This window comes from Homo sapiens, chromosome 7 (genome assembly GCF_000001405.40).
Source record: "Homo sapiens chromosome 7, GRCh38.p14 Primary Assembly".
NCBI classification, from domain to species: domain Eukaryota; kingdom Metazoa; phylum Chordata; class Mammalia; order Primates; family Hominidae; genus Homo; species Homo sapiens.
Window position 1 is genome coordinate 54,929,964 of NC_000007.14, and position 12,617 is coordinate 54,942,580.

Here is a 12,617-nt window from a genome sequence, read left to right on the forward strand (position 1 = left end):
AAGGAAACAGAACATGCCAAAACCTATGGAATGTAGCAAAAACAGGGAAATTTATAGCTATAAAACCTACATCAAGAAAGAAAGAAAACTTCAAATAAATAAGCCAAGAATGCATCTTTAAAAATTAGAAAGACAAGAGCAAACCAAACCCAAAATTAGTAGTAGAAAAAAACATAAAGATCAGCACAGAAATAAATAAATTTGAAATTAAGAAAACAGTACAAGAGATCAATGAAATGAAAATTTAGTTGTTTGAAACAATAAATAAAATTGACAAATCTTTAGGGAGACTAAGAAAAAAAGACACCGGAGCCAAATAAATAAAATCAGAGTTGAAAAAAATAGAGACATTAGAACTGATACCACAGAAATACAAAGGATCATTAGTAGCTAGTATGAGCAACTGTATGCCAACAAATTGGAAAATCTAGAGGAAATGTGTAAATTCCTAGACATATACAACCTACCAAGGTTAAACCATAAAGGAATCCAAAACCCGAACAGACCATTAACAAGCAATGAGATCAAAGCTGTAATAAAAAGTCTCTCAGTAAAGCAAAGTCTGGGAACCTGATGGCTTCACAACAGAATTCTACCAAACATTTAAAGAACCAATACCAATCCTACTCAAACTATTCTAAAAAGTAGAGGAGGAGGAAATACTTCCAAATTCCTTCTATGAGGCCAAAACCAGACAAAGACACATCAAAAAAGAAAACTACAGGACACTCTCTCTGTTGAATATTGATAGAAAAGGCCTTAGCAAAATACTAGCAAACTGAATTAAACAATACATTAGAAAGAATATTCATCATGACTAAATGGGATTTATCCCAGGGATATAAGACCACTTTAACATATGCAAATAAATCAATGTCGTACATCATATCAATAGAATGAAGGACAAAAACCATGTGATCATTTTAATTGGTGCTGCAATTGACAAAATTCAACACCCTTTCATGATAAAAATCCTTAAAAAACAGGCATAGAAGGAACATACCTTAACATAATGAAAGACATATATGACAGACCCACAGCTAGTATCACACTGAATGAGGAAAAACTGAAAGCCTTTCCTTTAAGATCTGGAACACAACAGCAATGCCACTTTCACCACTGTTATCCAACATAGTACTGGAAGTGCTAGCTAGAGCAATCAGACAAGAGAAGGACATAAAGGGCATCCAAATTGGAAAGGAAGAAGTCAAATTATCCTAGTTTGCAGATGATATGAGCTGATATCATCTGCAAAGACTCCAAAGAAAGTATAGAACTGATAAACAAATTCAGAAAAGTTGCAGAGTTGGAAAAAAAAAAAGACATTAGAACTGATACCACAGAAATTAACATGCAAAAATCAGTAGCATTTCTATATTCCAAAAGTGAACATTCTGGAAAAGAAATCAAAAAAGTAACTCCATTTACAATAACCACAAATAAAATTAAATACCTAGGAATCAAAAAGAAGTGAAAGATTTCTACAATGAAACTATAAAATACTGATGAAAGAAATTGAAGAGGACACAAAAAAGTGTAAAAGTATTTCACGTTCATGGATTGGAAGAATCAACATTGTTAAAATGTCTATACTACTCAAAGCAATCTACAAATTCAATGCCATCCCTATAAAAATACCAGACATTCTTCACAGAAATAGAGCAATCTTAAAATTTACATAGAACCACAAAACATCCAGAATAGCCAAAGCAAAAAGAGGAAAACTGGAGGAATCACATCACCTGACTTCAAATTATACTACAAAGCTACAGTAACCAAAACAGCATGGTACTGGAATAAAAACAGAAGCATGAATCAATGGAACAGAACAGATAACCCAGAAACAAATCCACACATCTCAAGTGAACTCATTTTTGACAACGGTGCCAAGAACATACAATGGGGAAAGGACAGTCTCTTCAATACATGGTGCTGGGAAAACTGGATATCCAAATGCAGAAGAATGAAACTTGACTCATATCTCTAACCATATACAAAAAAATCAAATCAAAATGGATGAAAGACTTCAATCTAAGACCTCAAACTATGAAATTACTTCAAGAAAACATTGAAGAAATTCTCCAGGATATTGGCCTGGGCAAAAATTTCTTGAGTAATATCCTACAAGCACAGACAACTAAAGCGAAAATGAACAGATGGGATCACATCAAGTTTAAAAGCTTCTGCACAGCAAAGGAAATGTCAATAAAGTGAAGAGACAACCCACGGAAGGGGAGGAAATATTTGCAAACTACCCATCTGACAAGGAGTTTATAACCAGAATATATAAGGAGCTCAAACAACCCCATAGGGAAAAAATAATAATCTGATTTAAAAATAGGCAAAAGATCTGAACAGATATTCCTTAAAAGAAGACATGTAAATGGAAGCAGGCACATGAAAAGGAGATGAACATCATTGATCAACAGAGAAATGCAAATCAAAACCACAATGAGATATCATCTCACTCCAGTTAAAATGGCTTTAATCCAAAAGATGGGCAATAACAAATGCTCATGAGGATGTGGAAAAAGGGAATCCTCATACACTGTTGATGAGAATGTAAATTATTACAGTCACTGTGGAGAACAGTTTGGAGGTTCCTCAAAATACTCAAAATAGAGCCACCATATAACCCAGCAATCTCACTGCTTGGTATATACCCAAAAGAAAGGAAATCAGTGTATGGAAGAGATATCTGCACTTCCGTGTTCATTGCAGCACTGTTCACAATAGCTGAGATTTGAAAGCAACCTAAGTGTCCATCAACAGACAAATGGATAAAGAAAATATGGTACATATACGCAATGGGGTACTATGCAGACATAAAAAGAATGAGATCTTGTCATTTACAACGGCATAGGTGGAACTGGAGGTCATTATGTTAGGTGAAATAAGTCAGACTTGGAAAGTCAAATTTCGCATGTTCTCATTTATTTGTGGGTGCTAAATATCAAAGCAATTGAACTCATGCAGATAGAGAGTAGAAGGATGATTACCAGAGGCTAGGAAGGGTAGTGGGGGGGTGAAGGAGGGAAGTGAGGATGGTTAATAGGTACAAAACATACATATACATACATACATACATACATACATACATACATACATACATACATACATATATATATAATTAGAATGAATAAGACAGAATTTGATAGCTCAACAGGGTGACTATAGTCAATAATACTTTAATTGTACATTAAAAATTAACTTAGGTCAGCGCGAGGGAGCCCGGGTGGCCGCCATTACTGAGCCTGGCGCTGCGGCTGGCGCTGGGAGAGCGGGGAGGGACGGGGCCGCAGCTGGTGGCAGAGAGGGAGGGAGGGTGGGTGAGCAGGCTGCGGGGGCCGTGGGGCTCAGGGTTTCCGGGCGTGTGTGTCGGGGAGGGCGGAGGGAGGTGCCTGAAGGGACGCGCCGCTCGGTGAGCGCGCCGGGGGAGAGGCGAGCAGAGAGTGGAGGAGGAGGCGGCGGCGGGAGCGCTACCCAGGAATGTTGCTGCCGCAGCCACAGCCAGGGCCGCTGTGGTTGAGGAGGAGACAGAGGAGACCGACGTTGTTAGGAAAATGATCTCTATGATCTTGAAGATGTTTCTGCACAGAAATGAGGGAAATACAAAGAACCAAATACAGTTCTGAAACTTGGGATCTGTATTTTCAGATGATTTTATTTTCAGAATGAGAAGCATATCTGGTTTCATATCTACATTTATGAATGTAGAGGCATGAGAAGAGAGTTATGATGGCAAAAAACAAAGAGCCTTGTCCCCCATCCTATACTATCAGTGTAGTTGGACTCTCTGGGACTGAAAAAGACAAAGGTAACTGTGGAGTTGGAAAGTCTTGTTTGTGCAATAGATTTGCACGCTCAAAAGCAGATAAATATTATCCAGAGCATACTTCTGTGCTTAGCACCATTGACTTTGGAGGACGAGTCGTAAACAGTGATCACTTTTTGTACTACTGGGGTGACATAACACAAAATGGTGAAGTTGGAGTAGAATGCAAAATTCATGTCATTTAACAGTTCATTGATGACCAGACATTCTTGCCTCATCGGAGTATGAATTTGCAACCATATATAAAACGTGCAGCTGCATCTAGATTGCAGTCAGCAGAAAAACTAATGTACATTTGCACTGATCAACTAGGCTTAGAACAAGACTTTGAACAGAAGCAAATGCCTGAAGGGAAGCTCAATGTAGATGGATTTTTATTATGCATTGATGTAAGTCAGGGATGCAATAGGAAATTTGATGATCAACTTAAATTTGTGAATAACCTTTTTGTCCAGTTATCAAAATCAAAAATACCTGTAATAATAGCGGCAACTAAATGTGATGAATGCGTGGATCATTATCTTAGAGAAGTTCAGGCATTTGCTTCAAACAAAAAGAAGCTTCTTGTAGTGGAAACATCAGCAGGATTTAATGTCAACATTGAAACGTGTTTCACTGCACTGGTACAAATGTTGGATAAAACTCGTAGCAAGCCTAAAATTATTCCCTATTTGGATGCTTATAAAACACAGAGACAACTTGTCACAGCAACAGATAAGTTTGAAAACTTGTGCAGACCGTGAGAGATTATCATGCAACTTGGAAAACTGTTAGTAATAAATTTAAAAAATCATCCTGATTATGAAGAATACATCAACTTAGAGGGAACAAGAAAGGCCAGAAATACATTCTCAAAACATATACAACAACTTAAACAGGAACCTATAAGAAAAAGGAGAGAAGAGTATATAAATACTTTACCAAGAAGAGTTTTTAACACTCTTGCCAAGTCTAGAAGAGATTGAACATTTGAATTGGTCAGAAGCTTTGAAGTTAATGGAAAAGAGAATAGATTTCCAGTTATGTTTTGTGGTGCTAGAAAAAACACCTTGGGATGAAACTGACCATATAGACAAAATTAATGACAGGCAGATTCCATTTGACCTCCTGAGCACTTTAGAAGCTGAAAAAGTCTGTCAGAACCATGTACAACATCCAATATCCGAGAAGAGGAGGGTAGAAATGAAGGAAAAATTCAAAAAGACTTTGGAAAAAATTCAAGTCATTTCACCTGGACAGCCATGGGAGGAAGTTATGTGCTTTGTTATGGAGGATGAAGCCTTCAAGTATATCACTGAGGCTGATAGCAAAGAGGCATATGGTAGGCATCAGTGATAAATAGTTGAAAATCCAAAGAAAAGTTTCAAGAAATGCTTTTTGAGCATTCTGAACTTTTTTATGATTTAGATCTTAATGCAACACCTAGTTCAGATAAAATGAGTGAAATTCATACAGTTCTGAGTGAAGAACCTAGATATAAAGCTTTACAGAAACTTGCACCTGATAGGGACTCTCTTCTACTTAAGCATATAGGATTTGTTTATCATCCCACTAAAGAAACGTGTCTTAGTGACCAAAATTGTACAGACATTAAAGTGGAGCAGTTACTTGCTAGCAGTCTTTTACAGTTGGATCACGGCTGCTTAAGATTATATCACGATAGTACCAATATAGATAAAATTAACCTTTTTATTTTAGGGAAGGTTGGCCTTGCCCAAGAACTAGCAAATGAGATAAGGACACAATCCACTGATGATGAGTATGCCTTAGATGGAAAATTTATGAACTTGATCTTCGGCCAGTTCGCCTTACCTTTTGAGTCAGTTATGGACTGCTGCCTTTAAACCACATCGGTGCTTCTGTGTATTTAATTCCATTAAGTCATTGAGTTTTATTGGGGGAATTTATTGGGAAAATAAGAACTGAAGCTTCTCAGATCAGAAAAGATAAATACTTGGCTAATCTTCCATTTACATTAATTCTGGCTAATCAGAGAGATTCCATTAGTAAGAATCTACCAATTCTCAGGCACCAAGGGCAGACAAGTTACAATGTCCTTTTGTAGATGTACCTGCTGGTACATATCCTCATAATTTTTATGAAACCCAAATAAAGCAAGCTCTAAGAGGAGTACTGGAATCTGTTAAACCCAATTTGGATGTGGTGAGCCCAGTTTCTGCCAAGAAGGACATATCAGAAGCTGACTTGAGAATTGTCATGTGTGCCATGTATGGAGATCCATTTAGTGTGAATCTTATTCCCTCACCCTTCCCTGATTCTCATTCTTGCAGTGCTGCTCAAGCTGGACAGAATAATTCCCTAATGCTTGATAAAATCATTGGTGAAAAAAGGAGGCGAATACAGACCACAATATTATCATACCACTCTTCAATTGGAGTAAGAAAAGATGAACTAGTTCATGGGTATATATTAATTTACTCTGCAAAACAGAAAGCATCAATGGGAATGCTTCGAGCATTTCTATCAGAAGTTCAAAACACATTCCTGTACAGCTGGTGGCAGTTACTGATAGCCAAGCAGATTTTTTTTTTGAAAACGAGGCTATCAAAGAATTAATGACTGAAGAACACATTGCAACTGAGATCACTGCTAAATTTACAGCATTGTATTCTTTATCTCAGTATCATCAGCAAACTGAGATCTTTATTCTGTTTTTTAGTGATGTTCTAGAGAAAAAACATATGATAGAAAATTCTTATTTGTCTGATAATACAAGGGAATCAACCCATCAAAGTGAAGATGTTTTTCTACCATCTCCCAGAGACTTTTTTCCCTATAACAACTACCCTGATTCAGATGATGACACAGAAGCACTACCTCCTTATAGTCCAACTGGGGATGATGTACAGTTGCTTCCAACACCTAGTGACCATTCCAGATACAGATTAGATTTGCAAGGAAATGAATATTCTATTCATAGTACCCCAAACTGTCGTGACCATGAACGCAACCATAAAGTGCCTCCACCTATTAAACCTAAACTAGTTGTACCTAAGACAAATGTGAAAAAAATGGATCCAAACATTTTAAAAACAATTGAAGCTGGTATTGGTAAAAATCCAAGAAAGCGGACTTCCCAGGTGCCTTTGGCACATCCTGAAGATATGAATCCTTCAGATAACTATGCGGAACCCATTGATACAATTTTCAAACAGAAGGGCTATTCTGATGAGATTTATATTGTCCCAGATGATAGTCAAAATCACATTAAAATTCAAAACTCACTTGTAAATAACACCCAAGGAGATGAAGAAAATGGATTTTCTGATAGAACCTCAAAAAAATCACGGGGAATGGAGGCCTTCAAAATACAAATATAAGTCTAAAATCATGTTTAGTAAAGCCAAGTCATACTATAGGAGAACACATTCAGATGCAAGTGATGATGAGGCTTTCACCACTTCTAAAACAAAAAGAAAAGGAAGACATCGTGGAAGTGAAGAAGATCCACTTCTTTCTCCTGTTGAAACTTGGAAAGGTTAGGTATTGGTAATCCTGCAATCACTTCTGACCAGGAGTTAGATGATAAGAAGATGGAGAAGAAAACCCGCAAAGTGAAAGGAGATAAAAAGCAGAAAAAGAAAACTAAGACCTTCAATCCACCAACATGTAGAAATTGGGAAAGTAATTACTTTGGGATGCCCCTCCAGGATCTGGTTACAGCTGAGAAGCCCATACCAGTATTTGTTGAGAAATGTGTGGAATTTATTGAAGATACAGGGTTATGTACTGAAGGACTCTACCGTGTTAGCAGGAACGAAACTGACCAAGACAATATTCAAAAGCAGTTTGATCAAGATCATAATATCAATCTAGTGTCAATGGAAGTAACAGTAAATGCTGTAGCTGGAGCCCTTAAAGCTTTCTTTGCAGATCTGCCAGTTCCTTTAATACCATATTCTCTTCATCCAGAGCTATTGGAAACAGCAAAAATCCCAGATAAAACAGAATGTCTTCATGCCTTGAAAGAAATTGCTAAGAAATTTCATCCTGTAAACTATGATGTATTCAGATACATGATAACACATCTGAACAGGGTTAGTCAGCAAAATAAAATCAACCTAATGACAGCAGACAACTTAATCCATCTGTTTTTGGCCAACCTTGATGAGAGCTGATTTTGAAAATCAAGAGTTTCTGTCTACTACTAAGATTCATCAATCTGTTGTTGAAACATTCATTCAACAGTGTCAGTTTTTCTTTTACAATGGAGAAATTGTAGAAACGACAAACACTGTGGCTCCTCCACCACCTTCAAACCCAGGACAGTTGGTGGAACCAACGGTACTACTTCAGTTGCCGCCACCATTGCAACCTCAGCTGATACAACCACAATTACAAACGGAACCTCTTGGTATTATATGAGTAGGAAGTAATTGCAAACAGGCTGGATTTGGACAAAAAGCAAATCTAGACATGCATGTTTCAGGGTTCAGTAGTATACTTCATATTTCATACAGATAATTCACATTCAAAATGACATTTTCTCTTTGAACTAGATGGTATTCCTTATTCACTTACATTACAAATCTAAGACTATGTGATAGGCATGACTGGAGAGGTTTAATTTTTATAAACAAAAATAGCTATAAAATACAAAGCTGCTGCTGCATGCAACCTTATTGCAATCAGTATATCATTCCTGTGACAATTTCTGTCACATTATGTTGTGAATAAAATTTTTCCATAGAAATTAAATGATTTAAAAACTCACCTATATGAAACATTTAATGCTTTTCAGCCTGCTTTCTGGCGATTTTGTTATTTGATGTGCTAATTTGGGCAACTTAATTTACATTCTGGCAGTCAGTGTAGATAAGTAAAAGCCCAGTTAAGTATTTTATACTTTCAGGCTACTGAGGCCATGCTTGGGATGTTGTTTGAAAGAAAGAAAAAATACACTTGACATATTTCACATTTCTGTACCTTCATCTTTACTTACAAATAAACCTGTGGATGATTTGATGAAGGATAAATGAACCTATTTCTTTTACACACATACCAAGGACATGCTTGTGACTAAAGTGAGTTGATAATATTGTGCAAAGGATAGTTGTCACCAACTCATTTCTTTCTGGTCCATAATGAAATAAACATTTTGTAGACTGTTAATTCTGTAAATAGATGCATGGTCAAAAGATCTATGATGTTCTTATAATCTTAATCTAATATATTTTAGATATTTTAATTTTTTCCCTTTTGGAGAACACATTTAGTATAGTGTAGAAAATACTTCATGACATTTGCATTAAGTTTATATAACTTTTCATACATAAACATGAAATTTGTTGTAGAAAATTCTTTAAACCAAACATTTAAATCTAAGACTTCAATTTAATTTGTTCCTTGTGTCTATTTTTATGTGGCCCTTAAAAACATATCCAAAAAACCAATAAAAATACTTTGGGTACTGACAAACTCTTCGGAGTGTTTATGTTACAAATTTGTATTCATGTTCTTTCCTGTGATGTGTTATCCTAAAACCCAAAATGGCTTTTGCACCATTTTTAAGCCAATTTTTTTCCTTTGATGTTGGCACCAGAATTACTATAAACGACTGCTGCTTTTGGGTGTAAACATTTTGTTAGTGAAGATATAACCAGAACAATAAATTATGGATAAAATTTTCAGAATAGGTGGCACAGGCAAATTTCACTAGGTTATATTTTGTGTAGTAAAGAAAAAAATTCTTTGGTAAATGTTATCTTAATTCAGACTACAATTTTAAGATTGTCTTATATGTATTATAGTAAATAGATGATTTTCAGAAAAAAATAACTCAAAGAGTATAATTGGATTGTTTGCAATTCCAAGAATAAATGCTTGAAGGGATGGATACCCCATTTTCCATGATGTGATTACTGCTTACTACATGCCTGTCAAAGTATCTCAAGTACCCCATAAATATATACACCTACTATGTACCTACAAAAATTTTTTTTTTAATTTTTAAGATCTTAAAAAAGAAAGCAGGCTGGTAAATCTAAACAAGTATTAGTATTATGAAACCTTAGTAATAATTGTTTTCAAGGAAGGTAGAAGTAGATATAAAGTAACTTTAGAGTTTATGCCAAGTATGTATGTTATGTTTAAGAGTAGCTTAACATAACATGTAAGAGTAGCTCCTAACAATAGGGGTAGAATATATAAGCTCCCAACTAGTATGATGAAATGAGTTTAAATCCATTAAGTCAAAGTAAGAAACAAGAAAAGAAAGAAAGAGCAGGGCAATTAGAAACTATAAAATAACATGGCAGAAGAAATGCAAATATACCATTAATCACAATATATGTAAATGAGATAAACACATTAACACAGAGTTTGTAGGATTAGATTTTGATAAAGTCTAACTAAATGATACTTGAAAGAAACACTTGAAATTACTACACAGAAAGGTTGAAAGTAAAAGAATGGAGAAAAGATAAACTCATTAAATACTAATGAAAAGAAATCTGGGTCAGAGGTAAGAATGTCAGATAGATTAAATTTTAGGCAAAAGGATTATAAGATTATGTCATAAAACATTAAATTAACCAATAACACACAACAGTTTCAACCTTGTATAAAACTAATACATAGTCTCAAAAATATAAAGAAAAAATGTACAGAATCAAGAAGGTAGATTGAGAAATCTAACAGCACATGAGAGATTAAAGAGAAAAAAATTTTGAACAAATAGTTACAGGTTGCTTCTTATGTGCCAGGCACTCTTTGAGTTGCAGGGGATGCTACAAAGAGAAAAATGAATTCTCATAAAAATGCTTGCCCTCATGGAGCTTATACTCTAGTAACATGTATATGGTATTCCGTGGGGGTGAGTACTATGGAAAAATAGAAGACAAAGGAGGAACACAGGGAGGGAGTTGGCCTTGCTGAAGAGTGTTTAGGAAAAGCCTCCCTGGAAATGTAGTTTTTGAGCAACATTTAATGGGGGTGAAGAAGCAAGAACAGACATCTGGATTTCTAAGGGAAGAGTATTTCAGAAGAAACAACAACTTCTAAGGCCTTAAACGGGGCATGTCCAAGAAACAGTAAATGGGCCAATATTTTTAGAATGTGTTGATTTAGAGGATGACCTAGTGGCAGGAGAATAAGACCAAAAGGTAAACACTGGAGAGAGAGAAAGTCACGCAGTGCCTGCAGGCTATTGTGTGAACCTGTGAGGAGGAGAGGATGTGGAATGGCAAAGTAAGGAAAGAGTCAAATCTCAACAAGCGTCACACTGGCATATTTTATGAAAAGTGGACTTAAGTTAGAAATCAGTGAAGAATAACTTAAAATTTATACAGTTGGACACTTACAAATGCATTTCTCAGTAACTTGTGGATCAAATATTACATATAACAAATATTTTAAAATACCTAGATGTGAACAAAACATAAATACAGCATATCAAAATGTATGGGCTATAGTCAAAGTATTATGAGGGGAATTTATATTCATAAATGCTTATTTATAAAAGCTCAAAAACCAGCTTAACAAGTTAGAAAATGAGGCCAGGTGTGGTGGCTCATGCCAGTAATCCCAGCACTTTGGGAGGTGGAAGTGGGCGGATCACGAGGTCAGGAGTTCGAGACCAGCCTGACCAACATGGAGAAGCCCCGTTTCTATTAAAAAGACAAAATTAGCCAGACGTGGTGGCAAATGCCTGTAATCCTAGCTACTTGGGAGGCTGAGGCAGGAGAATGGCTTGAACCCGGGAGGTGGAGGTTGCAGTGAGCTGAGATCGCGCCACTGCACTCTAGCCTGGGCAACAAGAGCAAAACTTGGAAAGAAAAAGGAAAGAAAGAAAGAAAGAAAGAAGGAAACGAAAGGAAGGAAGGAAGGAAGGAAGGAAGGAAGGAAGGAAGGAAGGAGGGAGGGAAGGAAGGAAGGGGAAAAGAAAAGAAAAGAAAAGCAGCAGAGTGTTCTTAAAGAAAACTGAGGGAAGAGAATATGTGGAATCTAAATCTAAAAAGGTCAAATACATAGAAGCACAGAGCAGAATGGTTGTTATGAGGGCCTGAAGGGTTGGGAGAAATGAGGAGAAGAAGGTTAAAGGGTACACACTTGCAGAATAAGATCTGAAAACCTAATGTACAGCATGATAACTACACTTCATAATAACATATTATGCACTTGAAATTTGCTAAGAGAGTAGATCTTAGCTATTCTCACCACATAACAACAACATAAGTGGCTAGGTGAGGTGATATGCTAATTACCTTAATTGTGGTTGCCATTTCATAATATATAGGTCTATCAAAACACCACATTGCATACCTTGAATATATGTAATTTTTATTTGTCAATTAGACCATAACATAGTTAAAAAAAAAGAGAGAGAGCATATGGAAAAGTAGGGAGGGAAATGAATACAGCAGAAAAGATTGATTAAACTAAAACTGAGTTCTTGAAAAAGACTAATAAAATTCTTAAACCTATTGCATGATTGACCAAGAACAAAAAGACAAAAAACAAAGAAATAATGATAGCAATAAAATCGGGACATAACTAGGTATCTATACAGAATTACAATGGAAGGAAATACTATAGTCACATTTTACAAAAATGAAAACTTAGGTAAAATTCAGTTTTTCAGAAAAAATATATTTCACAATATAGACTCAAAAAATTAAATAGATTTCTTTTTTTAAATAGATTTCTAGAAATACAAAGTAAAATGCAGGAAGAAGAAGAAGGAAAGAAGGAAGGAAGAAGGGAAGGAAGGAAGGAAGTAATCAAAAACTGGAAGAGAACAAGGATGCTGATTCTTAGTATT

At 35.8% G+C, this 12,617-nt stretch overlaps 1 pseudogene; it reads left to right on the forward strand.

The window, feature by feature from the left end:
• On the forward strand, positions 3,437-9,677 carry LOC643168 (Rho GTPase activating protein 5 pseudogene; annotated as a pseudogene).